This window comes from Homo sapiens, chromosome 11, assembly GCF_000001405.40.
Source record: "Homo sapiens chromosome 11, GRCh38.p14 Primary Assembly".
In the NCBI taxonomy this organism is placed as follows: domain Eukaryota; kingdom Metazoa; phylum Chordata; class Mammalia; order Primates; family Hominidae; genus Homo; species Homo sapiens.
In genome coordinates this window covers 70,493,866-70,519,136 of record NC_000011.10, presented here as the reverse complement: position 1 = coordinate 70,519,136, position 25,271 = coordinate 70,493,866, and the positions used below count along the sequence as shown (strand labels likewise).

General features: G+C 52.2%; 1 protein-coding gene across 32 annotated transcripts in view, besides 4 other annotated features; it reads left to right on the top strand.

The window, feature by feature from the left end:
- Positions 1-25,271, top strand: part of SHANK2 (SH3 and multiple ankyrin repeat domains 2) — a 785,381-nt gene that overhangs the window by 734,098 nt on the left and 26,012 nt on the right. For 22 of the 32 annotated variants that reach the window (NM_001441030.1, NM_001441032.1, NM_001441037.1 and 19 more), the window contains 2 exons: positions 16,206-16,341; positions 16,851-16,931. In NM_001441030.1, coding sequence (NP_001427959.1) covers positions 16,206-16,341; positions 16,851-16,931 — 217 coding nt within the window. Of the gene's footprint in view, positions 1-16,205; positions 16,342-16,850; positions 16,932-17,205; positions 17,215-18,546; positions 18,568-25,271 lie in introns of all 32 variants that reach the window. The other 10 variants (NR_110766.2, XM_017017389.2, NM_012309.5 and 7 more) reach the window with 3 other exon arrangements.
- Positions 416-917: an enhancer, noted in NCBI's record as "H3K4me1 hESC enhancer chr11:70364325-70364826 (GRCh37/hg19 assembly coordinates)". NCBI's record gives its function as "activates a minimal SCP1, AML or CMV promoter by ChIP-STARR-seq in primed H9 embryonic stem cells {active_cell/tissue: H9 hESC(primed)}" and the evidence as "EXISTENCE:reporter gene assay evidence [ECO:0000049][PMID:30033119]".
- Positions 13,136-13,635: an enhancer, noted in NCBI's record as "H3K4me1 hESC enhancer chr11:70351607-70352106 (GRCh37/hg19 assembly coordinates)". NCBI's record gives its function as "activates a minimal SCP1, AML or CMV promoter by ChIP-STARR-seq in primed H9 embryonic stem cells {active_cell/tissue: H9 hESC(primed)}" and the evidence as "EXISTENCE:reporter gene assay evidence [ECO:0000049][PMID:30033119]".
- Positions 18,302-18,461: a silencer, noted in NCBI's record as "fragment chr11:70346781-70346940 (GRCh37/hg19 assembly coordinates)". NCBI's record gives its function as "represses an EF-1alpha promoter that drives an FKBP-Casp9 reporter gene in an ReSE screen in phorbol 12-myristate 13-acetate-treated (for megakaryocytic differentiation) K562 erythroleukemia cells {active_cell/tissue: K562(+PMA)}" and the evidence as "EXISTENCE:reporter gene assay evidence [ECO:0000049][PMID:32094911]".
- Positions 20,769-21,269: an enhancer, noted in NCBI's record as "H3K4me1 hESC enhancer chr11:70343973-70344473 (GRCh37/hg19 assembly coordinates)". NCBI's record gives its function as "activates a minimal SCP1, AML or CMV promoter by ChIP-STARR-seq in naive H9 embryonic stem cells {active_cell/tissue: H9 hESC(naive)}" and the evidence as "EXISTENCE:reporter gene assay evidence [ECO:0000049][PMID:30033119]".

The window sequence follows — 25,271 nt, the reverse complement described above, 5'->3', positions numbered from 1 at the left end:
GAGTTCAAGACCAGCCTGGCCAACACAGGAAGACCCCATCTCTACAAAAAAATACAAAAATTAGCCCAGTGTGGTGGCACACACCTGTGGTTTCAGCTGCTCAAGAGGCTGAGGTGGGAGGATCGCTTGAGCCCAGGAGGTCAAGGCTGCAGTGAGCTAAGATCATGCCGCTGCACTCCAGCCTGGGTGACAGAGCAAGACCCTGTCTCAAGAAGTTAAAATAAAAATTATTCCAACTAGTAAGTGGAGAAGGAGCAACAGAAGTTGAACATCAGCGTTCTGCAGCTCCCAGGAGGTGAAGGATCTGGGCATGGCATTTACCAGTGGCTGCTAAAAACACTAAGTGGCAAGCTGACGGGGAGTGGGACAGGCTGAGGGTGCTTGACCCACCGGTGCTGTCTCGTCGCAGAAAGACCCAAGCAGCTGTGCCGGGGCTCCTGGCGTGGGTATGCCCGGCACCGCCTGCAAAGGGCTCCTGGATGCAATCCCGCCTCTGACCACCACTAATAGAAGCAATGCCGCAGGATGCAATTGACTCGGTTTCTTCAGCAAATGAACTGCAAAGGGATAAAAGAGGAATGGGGAAAGCCTAGAGATGTAAAAAGGCTTCAGAGACGTGCCAGCCAGATGTGACGTGTGCATCTTGCTCATGAGTCAAGTAAACCAGCTGTACACTCAGGGAGCCTGAGCCATGACGCGGTGCCTCATGATACCAGGAATGCAGTCGCTTTTTAGGCATGAGAATGGCATTGTGGTTTTTGGTTTTTGTTTTGTTTGAGACAGGTTCTCTGTTGCTCAGGCTGGAGTACAGTGGTGTGATCCCAGCTAACTGCAGCTAATCTCCCAGGCTCGAGCAATCCTCCCACTTCAGTTGTGTTTCTTCTTAATAAGAGTCTCTGTCTTTTCATAGAAAGCATGCTGAGCCATTTCCAGGGAACGCAGAGGGATATGATCGCCCCAGGGGCTGGGTGGGTGCTCTCGGAGCCAGCAGTGGCTGACGCTGGCTAAAGGGACAGCACTGGCTCAGGGTACTCATCTCTCTACTGTCATGTAACATTGGGCTTCTTCCATAATAAAAACTTGTAGAAATGAGCCTCTTTTTAATTAGTAGACTTTATATTTTGAGGAGTTTATGGGGAAAAATGAGTGAAAAGTACCGACTTGCCACATACCCCCTTATATCTCTCCCTGTTTTCCCTATTTTTCAATTGGCTTGTCAATTGTAGCAAATGTCCCACACAGTTGAGAAGCCAATATTGATACACCATTATTAACTAAAGCCCGTAGTCTACATGAGGGTTCACTCTTGGTGTACATTCTGTGGGTTTTGCCAAATGTATAATATCCTGTACCTACCATTATAGTATCAAACAGAACAGCCTCACTGCCTCAAAAATTCTCTGTGCTTCTGTTCCACCTTCCTTCCCTCCCCCTGAGCCCTTGGCAACCACTGATCTTTTTACCTTCTCCATAGTTTGCCTTTTCTAGAATGTCATGTAGTTGGAATCATACAGTGTGCAGCCTTTTCAGATTGGCTTCTTTCACTTAGCAACATGCTTGTAAGCTTCCTGCAGGCCTTCCCATGGCTTGGTAGCTCATTTCTTTTTAGTGCTAACTAATATTCCGTTTTCTAGATGGACCAGTGTGTTTGTCCACTCACCTCTCAAAAGACATCTGGGTTGCTTCCAAGTTTGGCAATTATTAATAAAGCTGCTCTAAACCTCGGCATACAGGTTTTTGTATGAACCTGTTCTCAACTCATTTGGGTAAATACAAAGGAGCACAATTGCTGGATCATAGGGTAAAAGTGTGTTGTTTTGTAAGAAACTGCCAAACTGTCTTCCAAAGTGCCTGTGTTATTTTGGGTTCCCACCAGCAACGATAAGCATTCCGGTTGCTGCACATCCTCGCCGGCATTTGCTGTTGTCGGTGTTTGAGATTCTGGCCATTCCATAGGTGTGTAGTGGTGTCTCACTGTTGGCTTGATTTGCTAATTCCACATGATGTGGAGCATTTATTTGCCATCTGTGTATCTTCTTTGGTGAGTTGTCTATTCAGATATTTTGCCCTTTTTTTCACTCTGTTGCCCAGGCTGGAGTGCAGTGGCACCATCTGGACTCACAGCAACCTCCACCTCCCAGGTTCAAGCGATTCTCCTGCCTCAGCCTCCCAAGTAGCTGGGATTACAGATGTGTGCCACCATGCCCGGCTGATTTTTGTACTTTTATAAGAGACGGGGTTTCACCATGTTGGCCAGGCTGGTCTTGAACTCCTGACCTCACTCAGGTGATCCACCCGACTCGGCCCCCCAAAGTGCTGGGATTACAAGCATGAGCCACCATGCCCAGCCCCATTTTTATATTCAGTTGTTTTCTTACTGTTGAGATGTAAGAGTTCTTTCTTTTTGTATTTCAAATACCAGTCCTTTATCTGATAAGTGTTTGTTTTGCAAAGATTTTCCCCCAGTCTGTGGTTTATCTTTTTATTCTCTTCAGAGTGCATTTTGCAGAGTTAATTTAAGGAAGTCCAACATCAATTTTGACTTTTATAGATTATGCTTTTGGTGTTGTATCTAAGAAATCATCACCAAACTCAAGGTCATCTAGATCTTCTCTTATCTTCTAGAAGTGTCATAGTTTTGCTTTTTACATTTAAGTCCGTGATCCACTGGGGGTTAATTTTTGTGAAAGATTTCAGGTCTGTCTCTACATTCATTTTTGCATGTGGATGTCCAGCATGGCTTGTTGAAAAGACTGTCCTTTCTCCATGGAACTGCCTTTGCTCCTTTGTCAAAGATCAGTTGACTCTATTTGTGTGGGTCTATTTCTGGGCTTTCTATTCTGATCATTGGTCTATTTGTCTGTTCTTTCACCAGTACCCCGCTGCCTTGATTACTGTAGCTGTATAGTAACTCTTGAAGTTGGGGAGTGTCAGCCCTGTGACTTTGTCCTCCTTCGATATTGTGTTGGCTATTTTGGGCCTCTTAGCTTTCCATATAAACTTTAGGATCCATTTGTCAGTATTCACAAAATAATTGGCTGTGATCGAACTTAGTCTTTTAGGAGCTACTCTGAAATATGAGCTGCCTTCCAAGGAACATCAGACATTTGATGAACTAATATGAAATACGGCCCAAAACAAACACACTGAAAACAACTGAAGAAACCAGTATGCAGGAAGAGTAAGATTAAGAAATGTATTATTAATATGCTCAGTGAGATCAAAGAAAAAAAAAGTAAAATGTTCTTTCTGAAATGATCAGAGAACAAAATAAGAGTTCCTGAAAATTAAAAATATTATATAGCAGGTATAAAAAAAATTTTTTTGAGACAGGTCTCGCTCTGTTGCCCAGGCTGGAGTGCAGTGGTGTGATCAGGACTTGCTGCAGCCTCAGCCTCAAGGGATCCTCCCACCTCAGCCTCCTGAATAGCTGGAACCACAGCCACGTGCTGCCATACTTGGCTAACTTTTAAATGTTTTTTTTTTTTTTTTTTTTTTTCAAGGAACGAGGTCTCACTATGCTGCCCAGCAGGTCTCAAACTCCTGGCTTCAAGCAATCGTCCCACCCCAGCTTCCCAGAGTGCTGGGATTATAGACATGAGCCACCGCTCCGGGCTGGCATTAAAAATTTGAAAGATAGATTGAAAGATAAACTTGAAAAGAATTTCTCAGAAAAGAAAAAGATATGGCCTTCGAAGAAGATAATAAAATTAGAAGGTCAGTCCAGACGGTCTACTGTGTATAAAATAAGGATACCTCAAAGAGAAAATAAAAGAAATATTTAAAAAGTCATTGAATGGCCAGGCGCAGTGGTTCATGCCTGTAGTCCCAGCACTTTGGGAGGCCAAGGTGGGCAGATCACTTGAACCCAGGAGTTCAAGACCAGCCTGGGCAACATGGTGAAACCACATTTCTACACAGAATACAAAATCATTAGGCATAGTGACATGCATCTGTGGTCTCAGCTACTTGGGAGGCTGAGGTGGGAGAATCACCTGAGCCTGGGAAGTCAAAGCTGCAGTGAGTCACGATCACACCACTGCACTCCAGCCTGGGCGACAGAGCAAGACCCTGTGTCAAAAATTTATTTTGTCTGATATTAACAGCCATTCTGCCCAGGAACTGTCTTTTCTCATTTATTAACTCTCAGCCTCTCAGTGTCTTTGTATTGAAAGTGTACGGACAGCATAATTAGGTCTTCTTTTTAAACCATTTTATAAGGCCTGATGTTTAGTTGGAGTTTTATTCTATTTAACATTTAATAGAATTGTTCATGTGGTTCCATCTAGGTTTACAAGTTTGTCTTCTGTTTATCTCCTCAGTTTTTATTTTTCCCTTTTTCTGCCTTATTTTAGATTATTTAACTATTCTTAGAACCTTATTTTAATTTTTCCATTGGCGTTACACTGTAGCTCTTCACATTCTTTTAGCAGTGGATCAAGGATTACAGTATACATTCTTAGCTTTCCATAGTCTACTTAGAGTTCAAATTGTACACTCCATGTAAAATATAAAAACCCAGCAACCATATAGATGCATCTTCTTCACTCCTGCCTCACTTTATTCTATAATTGTCATGTGTGTTACATCTACACACTTGTAAACCCCAAAATCAGTATTATTTTTGCCTAAAACAGTGATATCTGCTTTTAAAATTAAGAGGGAGAATCATCTTTTATTTTGTATCCAGGTGTTCACCATTTGTGGCACCCTTTGTGCCATCCATAGATCCAGTCCCGCTTCACTTCAGCTTGAAGAACGTTCTTTAGTGCAGGCTTTCTGGCAACAAATAACCTGGTTTTCATTTTTTTATAAAGGTCTTTATTTTGCCTGTATTCTTTAAAGAATTTTCACCAGAAATGGAATTCTAGTTGTGTTTTTTTTACTTTCACCTGTTAAAGATGTTGTTCCGCCGTCTTCTACAAGAGGTTCTTCTCCATGGTTTCTGATGCAAAGTCTGCAATCATTCAGTCATTTTTATTTAGAGTGTGAATAATGTAAATAATTTCTCTGGCTGCTTTAAGATTCTCACCTTGTCTTTGGCTTTGAGCAGAATTGACTATAATGTCCCTATATAATTTTTTAAATACTTATCTTTTTGGGGATTCACAGGCTTCTTGAATCTATAAATTTATGTCCTTCACCTAATTGGGGAATTCCTTGGGTACCATTTTTTCAAGTATTTTTTATGACTCATTTTCTCTGTCTTCTTTGACTCTAATTTTCCCCCCTTCTGAGACTCTCGTTCACGTTATGTTAGACCTTTTGATCCTTAATACTCTCTGTTCTACTTTTTAAAATCTTTTTTTCTCTCTTCTTTGGATTGGATATGTTCTCTTGGCATGTCTTCAAATTCACTAATAATTAGCTCTGTCATATCCATGCTGATGTTAAGCCCAGCTGATGCATTTCTAACAATTCCATATAATTCTTTTTAAAATTTCCTTGGGATTTCCTGTCTTTTATTCATTATAAGCCTATTTTCCTTTACCTAGTTGGGTATTGTTACAGTAGCTGTTTTTTAAAGTCCTTCTCTGATAATTCCAACATCTGGGTCATCTCTGGGTTTGCTAAATAAGTTTGAGTTGTATCCCAAATTTCGTGAATGTTATGCTTTGGCAACTCTGGATTATATTACATTCCTTTGATGGGTGTTAATGTTTTTGTTTTAGCTGATAATGAGTTTGGTTAAACTCAAATTGCAACCTTTGTCTGCCCTGCAGTGGCAGCAGCTCAAATTTCAGCCTTATCATAGCAAGCCTATTTGAGTCTTCCTTACACACACAGCTCAGCTCAGACATCAACCAAAGACCTATGAGAAGTTTACACACAGAATATGAAACTACCCTTCTCTGGCTCTCTCTTTTCTGGAGTTCTCCCCTCACTTTGGCTGCTATGGCCACTGTGGGCTGTATCCTCTGATTTCTATCAGAACTGCAGGTTTGTGCAGGATCTGGATTTAAAAAAAAAAAACAAAAAACTGCAGGTGACTCATACCATAATGCATCCATTGCACAAAGCTTCTAATTTTCAACTCTCATCTAAAATCTGCCTGTCTTTGTTCACTCTTCAGAACCTTCAGAGAATTTATTTGTTGGTTTGGGGGTGGGGATTGTACTCTGTCTAGATTTTATAGCTATTACCTGCAGAAGAGTTAGTTAGTCTTAGGAATTTACTTTACCTTATTCCCCAACCTCAAATTTTATACCCAGCCAAACTACCAATTAAGTGTACAGATAAAGCCATTTTCAAATAGTCAATGTCTCAAAAAAATTATGTCCTAACTCTATTTGGGGAGAAGATACTGGAGGATGTCCTTTACAAAAAATGAGGTTTTTGAACCAAATAAACAAATACAGGGATTCAGGAGATCCAACACAGGAAAGAATCAGTCAAAGGAATCCTGAGGATTAGAGTAATGGGGACAGCTGCTAGAAAACACTTAATCCTGGTTGTTCAGTGCAGATCAAAAGTCTTCAGGAAATATTTCTTCAGGAAGACAAACTTAAAATGGATAATGTATTTGAAGACTCTGAAAAGAGATTTACATAATTAGGGAAGCATTTGGATTTGAATTACTGTTAAGTACATAGAAAAACCGACCAACAAACAAAATTATTTTGCTCTAGGGAGAACAAAATGTACAGGAAAAGATGAAGTAACCATAGTATACTATAGAGTTTAAGCTATGAATAGATTTTACATAGTCATGATGTAAATCCTGAATGGTGATCTAGTTAAAATTTTGATATCAATACATCTAGAGGATGGTGGTACTGGGAAAACAGTGGGGAGGGAGGATTTTTTAAAAAGAGCCAAATTAGTGGTTCTCAACTGATGGTGTCTTGACCTTCCATAGGACATTTGGCAGTATCTGGAAACATTCTTGATTTTCACGCTTGGGGGTGGAGATTATTGCTGGCAGCTGGCAGGTAGAATTCAGGGACACTGCTAAACATCCTACAGTGCACACCCACAACAAAGAATTAATTGGTCCAAAATCACCATAGTGCCACATTTCACAAACTCTGAGCCAAGTCATCCTTTTCCATCACAGTGTGTCAGCGGATAATATCGAAAATGTAAATATCAAGTAGCAAAAATAGGTGTTCAGAGATTGAGTGATAGATATAAAATTAAATAGCTGAAGGCTCAGAGTGAGAAGTAAGGCTGGGTTGGTGGGGTTTCATCATGACAATCCTTGTGGAACTCTTTGTTTCTGTAAACTCTGTGTATGTGTATGTACAACTTTTGATATTTTAAATAACGATTTAAGTGGAAGAAGAGAATTATTTACAAAGGAAGGCAGGTATGCCCATTCTTCACAGAAATTCCCTGGACTGTGGCTGATGATAGGCTTGGGTTCTTGCCATCTACCTGGATGTGGCTGTGATTCACTCACTCTGTAAATGTCTCCATGTCTGTATGTAAGGGTGATGCATGGACAGGCACATTACTCTTTTTTTGGAGTTATCTGGATCCATGATTTCTCAACAGTTTCTCTCTACTCCAAGGCAGTTATCCCCAGGAGCTGCAGTACTTACCTGAGCCTTCTATAAATCTGGCAAGTGATCAAGCCATACCTTCCCCTGGTGGCAGCATTCCAGAATTGCAGGTCCAGGTTTTTTGAGGGGCACCGAAACCCCATGGAAGCTCAAGATGCCAACCTGAGCATATGAGGAAACAGCAAGCATTTCACCTATTCTGCAGTTTCTGTCACCACATGAGCAATTTCTGGCATCTGTTTTAAGGACTGTAGCTGGTTCCAAAGTCTCATTGCAGGTTAAACTGATTTTAGGTTTGTTTAAAGGCTGGGAAATTCTAAAGATCCTAAAGCTTTTTTTCCTCTGTCCCTGCTGAACTGGGTAGGGAAATGTAACTGAAGTATCCAGTCCTGCCTTGTTGCGTGCTGGTCTTGTCAATTAATTTCACGTTGAGTTGAGTTGCCAGCCATGTGCCTTTGCCCCACTCTTCCCATAGAAGTGTTGATGGGCGCTGGGGCACACTCCGTTGGCATCCTTGAGCCTTGTTGTCAAAGTGCTCACCTTCACACGGGGAGCAGGTGCACAAAAACCCAAAGCCACACGACGCACAGCTTTGTCCTTGGTATGTTTCTTACTTTTGGGGAAGGACTTCATCCAAAGCTTGTTTATTTTGCAGAATAGGATGAGAACTTAAGACCAGCATGGTCGACGGGAGGTTGGCGCAGCCTCTTTGGTTGGGGCTGGCTCTGAGGCAGCAAGGAGTAGGTGCTGCCACTTCATGTGGCTGCGCAGCTTCTGTCCGGAAAATGGAGTCACACTTCCTCTTCACCAGGAAAGGGGAAGGCAGCTGGGAGCATGGGCTCCACCCTTTGTGTGCCCAGCCTAGGGAGGACTCCAGGAACCCCTAGGACTCACTGTGCTATGACTCGCACAAGGCAGAGACACTTCCTCTAAAGGTAGAAGACAGTGACATGGGCCCATCCTGGAGGACACCCTCTTCCTGCAGACAGGTTCCCCCAGCTCCTGGACAGAGGAGGAGCAGGGAAAGGAGGGACAGGATCTGTATCCAGAGGCCTCACAGACAGCTGGGTCCAGTGGCAGAAACTTGGGGGTGGTGGCGCTGGCAGAGGCAGGAAAGACAATCTCTTCTCAGGGACCCACATTACATGCCCCAGTTAGCCCTGCTAAAGGGGACAGTTTCAATAGGACCTCTGTGGGGTGGGGAAGGGCAAAAGCTCTGCTACAAGCATGAGCGCGGGAGGGCTGTGGCCTCCAGCCTGCACTGCCCACTCCCTCCCAGGGCTGCGGCAGTCATTTTCCAATGACAGTGCCTCTGAGTTCCCACTCACAACACCCCTTCCCCCAGGACCTTTAAGATGCCCCAGCCACCAACCTTGGCCCCAGGTTTGCTAACAGCAGCAGCATCTGGGGGCTGTGGCCTTTGCATGCCAGAGCTGCCTCTGCCATCTCTGCAGGTCTGGGTGAACTGCGGCCCCAGGGTCTGCTCCTCCAGTCCCTGCCTCCCAGCTTCCCTTTAAGACCAGTCACTCCTGGGTCACCTGCTGGCCAAGACACCTCCTCCCTCCCCATCTCAAGCCTGGTACAATATATGTAATTGCAGGGGATGGGAGACGGAAACAGCTGTGGCCAGGCTCCTGGGTAAGTAAGCACAGCTATGGTTTGTCACTTGAGTTCTTAGTCCGTTTGGGCTGCCGCGACAGAATACACAGATCAGGTGGCTTAAACAGCACTTATTTCTCCCAGCTCGGGAGACCAGAAGTCCAAGATCATGGCACTGGCCGGCAAACTGGTTTGCAGAAAGCCATCTTCTCTTCACAGGACAGAAAGGGCAAAGGGTTGCTCCAGGGTCCCTTTTATAAGGGCACTAATCCCATTCACGAAGGCTCCGCCTCATGATGTAATCACTTCCCAGAGTCCCCGCCTCCCAACCCCATCACACTGGCGGTGAGGGTTTCAACACATAGACTGGGGGGACATAGACATGCAGCCACTGCAAGTCCCCAGCTTCAAGTCGTGGCCAGCAGGGTGGGCTGAGTCAGAGCTGAAAGACAGGGTGAGGGGGCAGGGGAGCTGAGGAAAGCTGACCCGAAGGCTACACCAATGCTGAAGACTCAGAGCTACATGCCAGCTGGCCGTGCTCTGAGCTCCTGCAAGGAAGAGTGCAGAGCTCCATGCTGGGAGCCCCCCCTCAATGGGATAAATGGGACTTGAGGCCATTTTTGCTCTGAGACCAATAGCCAGTGTCCCCACACTGGGCCCCTGGGGGAGGTCGTGGGACCAAGAGCCAAGACTGTGGCCCAATCAGTGTCTGCTCACATTGGGCAGCGCTGGAGACCTGTGCCACTGCATGGGCAACAGCTGGTGCTGCAGGGGCAGGTGAGCCTCAGTGGGCAGCAGACAGAGATGCACTGTGGCTGAGGGCTGCAATAGAACAGTCCTCAGGGTGGTAACCAAGAAGGCCGGGCAAGGCACAGGCCTGGTGACCAAGCACTGCAGGTGGGCAGCTTCAACCAGACAGGGACTGTCCCACAGCTCTGGAGACAAGAAGTTTGAGATCAAGGTGGCAGTAGCATGGGTTCCCTCTAAGGCTGTGAGGGAAAATCTTCCAGGCCTCTCCCATAGGAGCTGACGGTTTCCTGGCAACCTTTAGCATCTCAAAGCATCACCCTGATCTCACCCTTCATGGCGCCTTCTCCCTGTGTGCATATCTCTATATCCAGACTCCCCCGACTCTCTTTCTTTTGAGACAGGGTCTCACTCTGTTGCCCAGACTGGAGTGCAGTAGCACAATCATGGCTCATTGCAGTCTCGACCTCCAGAGCTCAGGTGATCCTCCTGCCTCAGCCTCCCAAGTAGCTGGGACCACAGGCACACACCAGTACACCTGGCTAACTTGTATTTTTTGTAGAAATGGGGTCTCACTATGTTGCCCAGGCTGGTCTGAAACTTGTGCTTGAGCAACCCACCCACCTCAACCTCCCGGAGTGCTGGGATTACAAGTGTGAGCTGCCACACCTGGCCCAAATTTCCCCTTTTCATAAGAACACTAGTCACCTGGGTTAGGCTCACCCTAATGGCCCCTTTTTAACTTGACTGTATCTGCAAAGTAAGGTCATATTTTGAGATACTAGGGATTAGGACTCCAGCATATAAATTTGGGCAGGACACAGTTCAGTCCAGAACAAGTGTCTGGGGACACAGAGATGATGCACCAGTAGGCAAAGTAGGGCAGGGGGCAGACTCTGCCCCGCCCCAGGACTTAGCCCTGATGGTGGCCTTAGGGGAAGCTGGAGGGATGGGATGTGGGGAGGGGTGCTGAGCATTCTGTCGGGAAAGGTCAGTGTGGGCGGAAGGTTGGGATGGGTTCTCTGTGCTCAGCTGAGGGGGACAGGGCAGGTGTGTGCCCAGCAGCACGTGGGCACCATCCACCCCCATGAGCCCTGGTGCCCTGTGGCGTTCCCAGTAGGCAGGCTCTCATTGCCTGAGGTCAGAGCCGGGCACAGGCTGTCAGTGCGGCCAGGTTCTCACCAAGGGGTCTTCCTGTCCTGGGCCTGTATGATAGAGGTTCCTGTGGCACACTGTCACGGCCTGTGCCCTCTCGGCAGAATCTAAACCATACCCTGGAGGGGTGCAAAGCAAATGTGCGTTGCAGGAGTTACTACCGGTCTGAGTTCATTTGCAGAGCCTCTAAACACTCCAAAAAATCACAAGCCCCGCTCTTGCGGGTTCCTCCCAGCCCCAGCTGCTTTGGGGAAGTCGGCATTTTTAGTGTCTTGATGGTATTTAGGGTCTAATTACAAACGCGCGTCACTGGGACCACATGCTTGGTGCTGGAACTGGCTCTTCATTGATGGAAACGATGTGGTTTCTATATTAAGTGCAAGATTCGGGGCCACTTTCCTGGCTTTTGCAAGCCCAAGTTTGAGTTGGGGTCCCCCACAGGCCCCTCCAGACCTCATGTCCGTGTCTGTCCACTGGGCCTGCATCTAGGGTTCAGGGTAATGCGGAGTGGTGACAGACGGGATGGCCACCTGCCTCTGCCCCAGCGCCCACATGACATTCCCCCATTCTGCCTCCTCCTCATGCTCAGAAAGGCTGTTGCAGGCCCCTCACAGACATCCCTCTCCCTCTGCAGGGGAAAGATTCTGGGCAGAAGGTCAATGTGTTTTGAGATCTGAGCTCTGACACAGGAGACTGGCCTGGGAAGCTTATATTGATACAGGGCTCACCAGTCACCTGTGGCTCCCGTAGGAAATAGAAATCAGTTTCATGAATGTCACCCAGGCTGATTTTGAGACCAGCAATGTGCAGAGTTCAATCTGTCCCTTCCCAAAATTCTAAACGCAGATGGCATCAAAGGCAGTGATAGCAGTTTTCTGTTTCACTGGTGGCTGGCAAGAGCCACAAATCCAATGCCCCCTCAAGCTGAGAAGGTGACGTCAGGGCCCAGGAGGCTGGGGCGGGCGGGCACAGCAGCAGTCACAGCCTCAGCTAACAGCAGGGGAGGATGCCGCATGCAAGTGGGAGGCCCAACTCCCCAAGTGCGAGGGTTCTAATTTTTCAATGAAAACTGAAATTCTAGACTTTCTATGCAAAGGTCTTATACTCTTTAAATTGTGACAGCTAAGTTAAAACTGACTGAGGCACTGTGTGGGTGGGATTTGACCCTTGGTAATCGCTGGATGGGGACCAAAGGGAACATCCTAGGATGTGTGTGGATGGTTTGAGGCCCTGTTGGCACCACCTCCCTGCCCCCAAGTGCTTGCCAGGGCAGGAAGCCATGCTGTTTACTGAGGACACCCCGCTAGAGAGGCAGGTGTCCTGCCCACGGGCACCCAGCAAGCAGCAGGGCCCCCACAGGCTCCGGACCCAATAATATGCTGATTCTGGAGGGGTGCAGGCCCACCAGGACCAGGGCTCACCGGATACCATCCCTCCATGAAGCAGGAGGGAGGGCCCTCCAAGTGGAGCTGGGACTGCAGGGAAGCTCGTCCAAAGCAACTTTGTTTGGAAGTGGCTCATGACCCCGAAAGACCTGGGCGAGACAGATTCTGGACGTCAGAGGGGCATCAGATGCCCAACAACTGATTCCAAACCTAGCTCCACCCCTGCAAGCCCTGTATGCCTCTTTGTCATCAGCTTTCAGAGAAGGCCAAGTGATGTTTCCAGGGCCCATGGGAGCCTCATTTCCTCTGAGCTCTCCTGAGCAGGTCCTGCCATTTGCTGCAGTCTGCTGAGGGCAGCAGGTCTACGAGGGGTACAGGGGATGGAATCAGGAACTGGGGAGCCCTGATTAGGAGTTGGGTGGGAACAGCAGCTTCTGCAGACTCAGATATGAGACATCAAATCTGGGCAGCCAGCCTGGCCCTGTGCAGGAGCAGCTCTGGCTGGGGCAGCATGAGTGTGTGGAGGTGCCACCAGAACGTGCACCCAGGCTGTCGGCTACAGACAAGGAAGGTGCTGGGGCCGCCAAGGTCCTTGGCCCCGCAGCCAAGCTTCCTGAGAATCCCCCATGAGTGGCTCATTCCCCGAGAGGCCTTTCTTTGGTCCTTTGCCTCCCCTGCCCAGAAAAGAGTAATGTCTGTCTCTGACACTTCTGAGGAAAAGGGCCCTCCAGCCCCTTGACCCTTCCAAGGCACAGGAACAAACTGCTTCTCCCAAAGCGGCCAAGGGCCAGCTCTGGCCAAGATCACAGAAGGACAGCATCCAGCCACCACAAATGAACCACGGGAGATTCTGGAGGATGAGGATTCTAGGGAGTGAGCCCAAGGCCGTGATGGTTAGCAGGCTGCAGTCAGAGGCCACATCCCCAGCCCCTCCCTGCCTAAGTGGCCAGGCTGTTAAAGTCCCCATCAGCCCGACGAGCCCTCAGGAGGCCGCAACTTGAGCTTGGCTTCTCCAGTGACTGGCAGCCCATCCCCGTGCCAGTCTCGTACTCTCCCCAAGCATCAGATCCAGAGAATGCCCCACAGCGGGTGGCAGGAGCAAGCAGGCAGTAATATGCACTTTCTTGGTTGGAGCCCCCTCAAGGCCCGGCACTGGGGGCCCGCCCAGAGCAGGAAAGCTGGTCCCAGCCCATCTCAAGGTGGGGCCGAGTCCTCCCCTCGCTCCCCACAGCCTTGCAAGGGATGACCCCTGGGGATCTAGTGGCCAGGCAGCTGGGGGCTCCCTACTGCCAGGTCTTCTCACCAAGGCCTCACACATTGGCCTCGCGGCTCCTGAGCCTGGGCAGCCTGCCTCCTCCATCTCAGCTTGAGACCCCAGTGTCTCGGTGCCCCCCCACGTGTGTTTGGCACCTCATACTCACAGCTGCTCGGGTCAGATGCCTCATCTCTGCATCGGGCCTCAGCACTCCCTGGCCCATAACTTCACCCTGGCATCCAAGGCCCTGCTCTCAGGCCTTGGCCTTTTCTGCGCCCCCCTGCCTACCGCTTCCTTGCCCATTCCCACTCCATGACTCCGCCCACACTGCTCTTTCCTGGTGGGTCCAGGCCTCTGTTCAGTCTCCTTTTACTTGGTTCTGCCTTCTTAGGTGGTACTCAGCCACCTGAAGTTATGTGTTCACTTCTTTGTGTGTCGGCCAAAACTCCCTGATGAGGACGCAAACTTCCCACAGATGGAGGCAGAGACAGCTGAACTGCCTGTGCCTCATGGCTTTTAGTGGTACGGGGAACAGAAACACTGGAATGAGTGAATGAATGAATGAATGAGCAACAGCCACTACCCGGGTGTGCTCATGGGAGGGGAGAGAACCCGATAACGCGTGGCTGGTGTTCGGTTGCCTGTCTGTACCAGAGCAGCGAGGGTCCTGCAAGCTGAGGTCTGCCCTCCGAGAACTCCCGGTGCTGTCTTCCTCGATCCGGCTCCTTTACTTCCTAAATCCATCTGCTTTCCTAATTACATTCTGAGAACCTCAGTGAAAGGAACAGCCCCCAGGAGTCACCTTGCAAAGACCGCTGCCGCTGTAGGTGGGCCTCTCTCCCAAGGCCCCATTAGGATAGTCCTGCTCCCAAGACTCTATCTTCAGGGCAGTGCAGGGTGACCAGCTGTCCAGTGGACCCAGGACACTGGATACTCACTGCTGAAACCGGGTGGGTCTGAGTACATGGGAATGAGCCGGTCCCACAGCAGAGACTGCAGAGCAGCTGGCACGGGGACTGCCCTGGCCCCACTGAGTCCTCCCTGGGCTCCTCGCAGCCCTGCCTGGAGGACCTCTGCAGCCGTCTCGTAGGTGACCAAAACTGGCACATCCTGGGCCTGTCAACAGTATGGGGAGCCAGGCACTGGGCCTGTCAACAGTATGGTGAGCCAGGCAGTACCTGCTTCTATCCAGCTCTTACAGGGATGTTGGATTTGTGAAAATCCACCAAGCAGCACACAGGCTTTAAGTTTTCTGTTTGTGGGTATACCAGATGTTTAGTTTTTGAAGAATCTATAGCAGGAGGATATGCGTACAGCACAGTGTGGCTGGTGAGGGGCATGACGTCTTGGCTGTTGTTTACGATCAGGGTGCTTTTCTTTGTTCGAAGGTGGCGTGTGAAGCAGCTGTAAACTTCACCTTCTGGGGCTTCCCCCTCCCTGCTGCCACCTAGAGACAGCTGCCTCTGGGCTGCGCTCCCATTCAGGAGCTGCTGGGATGAAGGTGCCAGAGGCCCCCTGTGGAGCTCAGTTCCATGGGCAGGGGTGAGGCCGGGGCCTTTTCACAGCAACATTTGAAAACCACTAAGTGTTACTCCTGCAGTAGCCAGGGTGGGCAGTGTCAGCCCAGACGCCCACCCAGTTCCAGTCTCCATCACTCGGGTTTTCCTCTGGGAGTAGCGTGGGGCTGGGAGGCAGAGGCCAAGGCCATCTGCTGCTGAGCATTGCTCAGGGAGGTGAGAATAGCAGAGGGGCCAGGGGGATGGCACCCTGAGTCCGTTCCTACTTCCGTGTCAGGTGCATTTGCCATGGTGAGGACAAATAGGGCAGGAGGTAACCGGCTCCTAAGAGTTCCTCAACTGCAGGGCAGTGGCCATAGCATGGCAGCCTTGGGGGTCCCCAGCCTGCCACTCACCGTCCCAGGAGCACTGGGGCAGCTAGTTGTACAGACCAGCACAGGGACAGGGCCCCCACTCTTGTAAGCACCCTGCTGGGCCAGGCTTTTCTGCCTTCCCAGGCCTCTGGAGCGGGAGAGCAGGGAGGGAGGGAGTGGGAGGAAAGGGGCTGCTTCAGTGTGATGTGCATTCCCAGAATACATGAGAAGCAATTAAGCGCCACGTTTCCTCCTCCTGTGAGGATGCAAAGCCTGGCACTGCAGCCCAGCCCTGGAACTCGCCTGTCAGGCTCTTCACATGCAGTCTCTTGGTGGCCCTGAAAATTGCCCCAGGCCTGTAAAAGTAAGCACCTAAGGATGCTCAGGTTAAATAGAAATCAGCCCTTCCTCTGCAGCAGCTGTGGAGGACTCAGCAGAGAGCTGCAGTGTCAGAGGAAGGCCTCCCCCAACCTCCTGAGCCACAGTTAAGTGACCTCCACAGTCACAGCAGCATTCATTCTGGTTTCCCCAAAAGCACCTTTGCTTCCAAAAAGATGACGGTCTCACTCCCTTTGCTTCCCTGCATTTGCCCCCTTTTTAGGAGCCCACATGTCTCTGCCTTGGGTGGGTGCCAACTGTCTTCCTCTCCGCTGGCTCTCACTGATGCCATCCTCTCCGCCTTCCCACAGGTTAACAATGAGAATGTTGTCAAAGTCGGCCACAGGCAGGTGGTGAACATGATCCGGCAGGGAGGGAATCACCTGGTCCTTAAGGTGGTCACGGTGACCAGGAATCTGGACCCCGACGACACCGCCAGGAAGAAAGGTACATGCCCCACATCGCCCAGCTCCAGCCTGGGGCCCTACTGGGGGGGGGGGGTGGGGGCGGGCAGGACAGCTGGGGGGCAGTGGGCCCTCTCTCCAGCTGATCCCACACTTCTGAGAGCCCAGGCACAGGGGTGAGGCTGGAATTTACCGCCAGAGCCCACGACAATGACTTGGGGCTCACACGCTGCCGGAATCATCCATGTCCCACCAGGAGTGCCCTTTTAGTCACTAGCAGGCGTCCCTTCCGCAGGCTTCCCACTCAGTGCCCTGTCCCCTCCCTCCCCCTGCCCAGGCCCACCCATGAGGGCCTGCACTGCAGTTCAGGGATATGGCAAGATCCTCCTGAGCACCTGTCCTTTCCCATCATAAGCACACCTGCACAATCCCTGACCACCGCAGCCAAACAGCCTGAGACCCACCTGCCAGCCACAGGGCCACTGCTAGCCTTATTCCCATATCTGGAAACATGGGCTGGGGTCTCACACCCATCTCTCCTCTGCCCTCCAGCTCCCCCGCCTCCAAAGCGGGCACCGACCACAGCCCTCACCCTGCGCTCCAAGTCCATGACCTCGGAGCTGGAGGAGCTCGGTAAGTCGCACACCCGGCCCAGCCCTGTACAGTCACCATGCCGGTCCCTGAGCTGCCCTTTGCAAAGCACCAGGCTGTGCATGACCCCACGCTTGCTCGCTACCCCCCTCCTGCCCCTGTACCCAGACGTGCATCAGGAAATGCCCCTGCATGCCCCGCAGCCCCATGTGTGCACCTCCCTCGGAGCCTCGCGGGGCGTTGTTGCTAGTCCTGCCTTTCCTCTTTTCTGTTTATCTAACATTGTTTTGTTTTGAATTTTTGGGCCTCTCACTAGTGGATAAAGGTAAGCAGCCCCACTGGGTCCCCAAAGCAGCTCCCCCTGCTGTCTAGGGCACCCCCACTGACATCCACCTCAGCCCAGGCCTCGGAGGCCTGTGTGAGCTGCTCCCCACGTGGCTCAGACCAGAAGGCTCCATCCTCCGGGGATCTGTGTGTAGATAGCGTGGGCTTGGCAGAGCAGTCTGGTCTGCACAGCAGGCTTAGGGAACGCCCGGCACCTTTGTGTAAGGTCTGCAAGCAACAGAGAGAGGCTCTGGCCCTCTGACTCCATCTTGTAGGCAGGGGAAGGGCGACTAGCAGCCACGTGGGCCATGCTGGCCATGCAGGATCCTGTTTGTTCCGGGGAGTCACCATGGAGCCAGGGACACCTTTGGAAAGAGGGTGGCTCTGAAACACACAGAGATGGCATGTAGGTGGAAACGCTTGCTCCACTGGAGCACAAATTGGAGCTGGTGAAGGCAGCTTACATGGGCGCAGAAACGAGCCCCCGCCCAAGGCCCACGGTCCAGTCCAGCTGGCCTGGGGGGTTGAGAGCCAAGCCCTGGCTGGTGCTCTCACTCACAGGCCCCGTCCTCCCTGCACTCTGGCACAGGCAGCTTTCCCGAGAGGAGTCTAGCAAGTGCTAAGTGCTGCCACAGCAGTGATGTCATCCTTCCTCGGCCCAGGGCGCTGAGGCCGGCCAGGCCGCTTCTCACGAGGTTCTGGGGCTAGAGTCTGAGGATGGGCATGAGGCCTCAGTCCAAAACAGCAGCCCTGCAGTGGCGCTGCCCCACCCACCCAGAACCAGTAGTGCCCCGCGTGCCCCAGCCTCACAGGCGACGGAGGAGGTGACCAGCCTCCAGGCCCTCTCCACAGAGGCCTGTCCTGGGGCTCCCCAGAGGGACAAGCCTAGCAGCTCTCATCTTTGCAAGGGGTGCTCCTGAGAGCTCAGCTCAGTCAAGAAACAACAGAATGAGGCAGGAAAGGCCACAGGTGCACTCTAAAGGCTGGCCCCGCCACCTCTGCTCATGTCTGCTCTGAGAACTCCTCCCTACTTTGGCAGGGTGCTGGTGGGACAAGGGGTGCTGAGGAAGAAGGAAAGCCCCTTTCCACTGCCAGGCAGTAGGTTAACGAGCAGGGCAGACAGGACAGAGTTGTGCGGGCAGCCAAGGTTTGGGGAAAGCCACTCCATGGATAGCGCAGCCTGCGTTCGCAGCGTTCCAGACAGCCCCTGCCTGCCGCCCCATTGCCGGCCCAGCCTGCTCCTGAGGCGCCCTGAGCTGACAAGGCCCGAGTGTAGGCTGCGGGCGGGCGCTGCATCCTGGTGGCTCATGGCGGTCCCCTTTCTGTTTGCAAGCCTCGGTCCGGAAGAAGAAGGGTAAGGGAGGCCCAGTGTCTGTCTCAGCCCCCTGCCCATCACCCCCCTGTGGAACAGAAACATCCTTTGTGATGCCGTGAAGTCTCAAATGTGTCGCAAAGCCTTGTTGGCTTCTCCTGCTGGGTCCTGCCCGAGGAGCCCTGCCGCCCTGGAGCACATTCATCTGTCTGTTCTTTCTGCTTGGCTTCTGTCTGTGATTCCCCAGCGTGTCCTGTGTTTCTTCCCTGACCTGTGTTCACATCGTCATGACCGTGAAGCTGGCCGGACCCCTGTTTGGTCTCAGCTGGGGCTGCCTGGATGGGGGGTTGCAGATGAGCAGAGCCTCTGGCTGCATTCCTGACCCTCAGGACCCCTTTGTGGTGGGCAGGAACTGCCTCCCTTTAAGGCCCGGAAATCACCCATTCCCCAAGAGGCTGCCCTGTGCCCTGTGGGGCACTAGAAGGAGAAGGGAGCAGTGTGAGCCCTTTGGCTACACCTCCCCACCCAGGGCTGGTGTGGAGTGGGAGACTGGCAGTCACTGTGGCTGTGGGCAGCCGGACCGCAGGCCCCAGATAGACTCAGGTTCCCCCTTTCACAGCAGCAAGCACATCGGGGGGTATTGCTCGCCTGCTGCTGGACACAGCTCCCCCAACAATTAAAAGCAGCACTCCCAGCTTTTAATTAATCCCTTGGAGTTGGGAGGAGCCTAGCACCTGGCCCTAAGGCACATCTTAACTCTGTCCCAATCATGTTAGATGAGATTGGGTGAGGTGGGCACAGAACCACCACTGTCCCGACCTGTGTCATCCCAGCGGCCTCTCTGCAGCAGCCCCGGGCTTGCACCAGCATCCTACAGCTGCCCAGAAAACTCCCAGCGGGCTTTCTAGGCCCCACTGCTGCGCCGAGGATGTGGTGGACACCCGGGGTACAGAATACCCTTCTTTCTATGTCGTGCAATTACGTTTGTGTGTGAACACCCCTTCAATCCAAGGCCAAACCCCAGCTCACGGGAATGGCCCTCTATTCATCACCTAACTGAGGAAGATGCCCCACCATGGCTGCCAGGGACCCAGTTGCCAGAACAGCGTGGGACAACAGAAGTCCCTTGTCAGGGAGAACAGTTCGGGACTCAGGTGGCTGAGCCACCGTGGGCGCCTGTGGCCTGCTGGGACCTGGCCCCATCCACACCACCCTCCTCCCCCAGGGTGGCATCAGAAGATCCACCTCCCGTCTGAGCAAGAGAAACTGGCTACAAATTTGAGCTTCCAGAGCCTCAACCCCAGATATAACAGGGGGCAAGGGTGTGGGCAGGAAGACCCCAAAGGGACCAGCAGCCGTGGCCCAGCCTGGTCACACTGGGGGATCCAGCTGGGGACTGAAGACACCGAGCGTTGCTGACAGCCCCTGCCTCTAGGGCCATGAGGGCATCCCATGGCGCACATGCGAAGTGCGGGGCACATAGTGGATGCACGGCAAATGCTCCAGGCCCCTCGTGCTGCCTCCACCTGTCTCTGGGAGGACTGGCCTCGCCTCGGAAAAAGCACTCGTCACACTCCAGAAAGGCCATGTGGAACAAAAGTCAGGCCTTTACAGTTGTATTGGGTTGAAAAGTGACCCCCAAAGTTCTGTGAATGGGACCTTATTTGGAAATAGGATCCTTGTAGATCTAATCAAGATGAGGTCATGCTGGACTCGGGTGGGCCCTAAATCCAGTGGTGTGTCCTTGTAAAGAAGGAAGGAACAAGCCAAGAAACACCATGGATTTGATCCTCTCCAGACCCCTGAAGGAGCCTGACCTTGGACTTCCAGCCTCCAGAACTGTGCAGGGATACGTTTCCATTGTTTTAAGCCCCCCGTGCATGGTCATTTATCATAACATCCCTGGCAAAGCACCTCAAATCCCGGGTCTGTCCCCGCTGGCTTTACCCTGCTTAGTGATCCCAGGTTTTCAGTTCTCCATCTGTAAAATCCTTGTTTAGTCTTTAAGTGTTCTCTGAGCACCTGCCCTAGTGCCCAGACCCTGTGCTGGGCTCAGGAAGAAGCCGGCTGTCAGGCAGGATTTGGGGTGGGGCCTCTGCCCCTGGGCACATGAAGGGGACTGTGGCCTTCACCCTACCAGGCACCTATGGCTGTACCTTCAGACTCTAGCCCTTGGAAGGTGTGTGACTCAGAGCCTGCAGGCCAGGACCAGTCCACCAGGGTCCAAGCACACCCTTCCCACCCTGCACTGCCGCTTTGGAAGATTAAACCAAGAGGCCGGCCAACTGGCAACAGCCGCTGCTTCTAACACACGCGGCTTCTGTCCTCTAACATCTGGCGCTGCAGATGTGTGTGTTTTCCTTTTGGAAATGGAGTGACATTTGTACTCTCTCACCCAGAGACAGGATGTAGTAGCACTGCAACTCCAGAGAAGTAGACAGACCACTTCAAGCCCACATAAGGGGAGAGAGCAGTGGTTGAGAACTGACAGGGTCCCTGGACCATGCCAGAGGATGTGAAGCAGACCATGAATCAGGTCCCAGGAAAGCTGAAGAGGTGGAGCAGCCCCATGCAGCCCTCCACAGGTCTGGTCTGCTGCTTTCCCCCAGAAGGTTCTGAAGAGTCAACAGGCAAACAGCTGGGCACTCTGCCCCTCAATGGGGCTGGCTCCCAGGCTCTGGGCCTATTGTGTGGCCACAGGCAAAGGAACTCGCTGGACAGTGGACCTAGTGTCACTTCAGTGCAGAGCCTATTTTCCAGGAGACTCAGCCACCAGGTGCCTGGGTGGTCCTGGGCCTCCCAGCCTCGGCATGGACGCTGGGGTCGTGTCACTCCTCGATTTGGTGACTCCCTTGTGATTTGCTGAGGATGCAGAGCAGTGGCAAGATTTCTCTAGCACAGGGCACACTGCTTCCTGCCCCCTATCAGGGGAACCTGCACTGAAGTCAGCCCGTGGTCCAGAGTCAGCTCATGGGCTGGGGGGCTCTGGTAACAGGCAGGTGACAAACCTACCTCCCCTCCCTTTTCCCTGTGCCTGGTCAGCATCACGTATCTAGTAGAGAGAACACACGTTTGCTCAGAGGGCTGAAATGCGGGTGACTGCTGGGGCATCTTCATCAGCTCCTCACTGGAGTGTTTTGGGATTTGACAGTTTCAAATCTGTCTGAGGCTTGTTTGTTTTCTGTCACCGAACAATTCATTCTAAGACTGCCAGGGGCCAGATTCACTAATCCCCTTCATCCAGAGTCCCTGAATAAAGACCTAGTTCTGAGCTTTTATAAATTAAGCATAATCCTTAGGAGCCTAGAATGAGAAGCAGGAATCTCAGTCCTGTGGCTTTTCTGAAAAGTCTCCATATCCCGGTAAACAAGATCTCCAAGATAAGGACTGAGCAAGTCAGGCCAGCATGATCCCACTGGCCACGTCCCCAAGAGACAAGGGCCAGGAGGGACCCACACCCCTGTGGGGAGCCAATGCAGGGTTTTCCTTTTTCATTTGAATTACACTAACTCTAACTTAAAAACGAATGCTAGCCCCTGACCCTACCACCCCAACACGCCCGGCTGCTCTCACATGCTCTAGTTCAAAAGAACATTTGTTTTGGGGTTATTAGGAAGGGAAAGGTTTAAAACAGAGACCAGATGTCCACAGGCAAGGTGGCCACAGTTTCAGGGATGCACCTTCAATGACATGACCAGCCCCACCCTCTGATGTGGCGACTGTGATGATGGGTAGGGTGCCCCCACCCCCGCCTCGTGGTTCTCCTGGACGAGGCAAACCATGCCAATGGTGACCCCAACCATTTCCAAACAAACTTTCTGCAGCCGTTGCCCACCAGGGCCCAGGGCTGGGCAGCCCATCACATGGCAGGCACAAGGCTTGGGGGACCCCAGCGCCAGCCCCAGCTCCCGCCTGGTCCCATGGTTTGCCCCCATATGGCCTTACGCATCTCAGACCTGAAATGTTTTCCCTTCGACATGGGAACAATCCCTTTACTACAGCCAGCTTCTCATTAGGATGAGAAACAGGATGATCGGCCCAGAACTTCCACCAGATTCAGGGACGGCTGTCATTATTGACCAGGACACCTTTCCTTCACCCTGGGCACACAGTTACATGAGGTGTATTTAACAAGATGCCTGCCGCAGGCCCTGAGGTCCTAAAATCGCAGCCTGCAGCCTGTTCATTTTGGGAATGTGAGAAGTCGAGGCGGTGCCCCAGGGAGGCCGGGCAGCAGACCCTCAGTGTGCAGTGGATGGAAATGAATCAGCCTCATCAGCTGTGGGGTTTGTTAATACATAAAAAACAGACACATGGCTTCTGGAAGGGCCCAGTTGGAAACGGGAGCTTCTTGAAGATTTGGCTCATTTAAATTGTAATCCCAGGAAAGCTGTTATGCCCTAGAGTCCCACCTTCCTTGATGTGCCCAGACATGGCCAACAGCACAGCAGAGCCTGGCCACAGCCTTCCCACACCCACCTGCGCCCAGGCCTTCCCCTGCAGGGCCTCGGCCGTCCTGCATCTTCTGGGTCTGACACCTGTCAATGTTCAACGCCGATGACTTTCCCTCACCTCCGCTATTCAGCCCCAGCTGCCACCTTAGCCTCTGAGCTTACCATAGCCTGGAAGTCAGGCCTGGAGGGATGCCCAGGCGTTTCTGGCTCGGATGGGCCTTCCTGCATCTCCACAGGTGCAGGTCTGAGCACAGGCAGGTGGCAGCCAGGAAGGCACCCTTCCCTGTCTGCACCTGTGTACAGTATCAGGTGGGCTGGATTCTGCGGCTGCCCCCAGAGCTCGCCACCTGGAATGCCCCCGTGGGATGTTTTGTTGGGCTCCAGCTGCTCTTCCCCTAACTTGGTGGCATCCCTTCTGGGTCATGTTCATGGAGGTACATGCTGCTGCACCCCGCTCAGGCCTCACGCTCCACTGGGGTCAGAGGAGGGGCCCGGGCCAGCACTGTCAGGAAGCAGGTCCCAGGGTATCCCCACCCCGCAGTGCCCTGGCTCACCACAGCTATGGGACATAACTCCCTGGTGCAGGAGACACATCTCAACCCCCGTTTCATTGGAGAAAAATACTCTGGGGGCCACCAGCGGCCACATCTCACTTGAGGCAAAGAACAGCCACTGCCTAGCGCCCCCATTTCCAGGGATAGACCAAGCTGGAGTTGCACATCACAGCCGGCCAGAGGAGATCACCCAAGCATCACCTGGTCCCAAGTCAAGGGGGAGAAGCCCAGCTGATCGGCGAGGCCAGGGAACAGAGGCCGGCACAGAAACCAATTCGACCCCAGCCATCCAAGGAGTCCCAGCCCAGCCCTGGGAGGGGAAAGGCTCCTTGGAGGAAGCAAATTGCTGGGACCATGGCAGGTGGACCCAGCCCGTGCAGCCCAGGGAGGTTGACAGGGACCCCAGCAAAGGGAATGTGAGATGAGGCAGCCATGCAGCACCTGCTGCAGCCGGAGGAGCTGGGATGAGGGCCTTGAACGCAGGTGAGGACAGCACGGCTCTGGACTGGGGTCACAGGTCACAGCCAGGATGTCCCCACTGCCAAGTGAGATGAGAATCGGGTGTTTCCTACCGTGCCTGACCAGTTCCCTGAGAAGCAGATGCTTAGCATCCACTGGGGGAATGACAAGGTCCCCAAGGAGGCATCAGGCTCATCGAAGAGCCAGCAGGGCTTGTGGGTCCAGGAATAACAGGAGAGAATGCATGAGCAGGGACGCAGAATTGGGGCCCAGTGAGCCTGCAGGCCTGGTCAGCTGGACTTGGTCATGAAGGGAGAGAGTGCTGTGGGGGGAGATTTGGCTGCCCGGACACTATGGGGCAAGGGCTTTCTTGCTTTGCGTGAACACTTGGCATTTTGCTGACAACTGGAAACGTGGTCCAGGCCAGGGGTCGGCAAACACCTCCCTGAAGGGCCCCATGGTAAGTGTGCTGGGCGTGACAGCCATATGGCCTCTGCTGCACATTCTCCTGCCTTTTCTTCCCCATCCTTGTTTGAAGACTAAAAGTGTATGGCTGGGTGTGGTGGCTCACACCTGTAATCCCAGCACTTTGGGAGGCCAAGGCGGGCACATCACTTGAGGTCAGGAGTCTGAGACCAGCCTGGCCAACATGGTGAAACCCCGTCTCTACTAAAAATACAAAAATTAGCCGGGCATGGTGGTGCTCGCCTGTAATCCCAGCTACTCAGGAGGCTGAGGCACGAGAATTGCTTGAACCCAGGAGGTGGAGGTTGCAGTGAGCCAAGCAGCCCAGGTGACAGTGAGAGTCCATCTTAAAGAAAAGAAAAAAAAGTATAGACTGCCCTGAGGTTCTGGCCCGGTGGGGGCAGGACTGGCCCAAGGGTCTGGAACACAGGCCTGGAACCAGGCCCCTCATGCAGACTCTACTGTGAGAGTGTCCATAGGTGTCAGAGTTGTGTACGTCTCAGCTGCTCTGCAAGGTTGAGGGGCCATCACAGGGCGCCTGGCTCAGTGTCCCCAGCACACCCCCATTTCCTCTCCCCAAACTTCCTCTTGTGGGGACCTCTGGTCTGGGCTGCCTTTGTCAGGAGCCTGATGCCTTTGTGTTGGACAACCCTGATCCGTGCCGTGGCTCTGGGAGCTTTGCCCGTGGGTCAGCTCCCCGTGAGAAGCTGCCATGACAGGTAACTTCCGCCTCAGCTTGAAGAACAATTTGGAGATGGGGGCCTTCCTCCCTGCACTCTGCTCAGCTCTAACTTGCACAATAGCCTCATGGCTC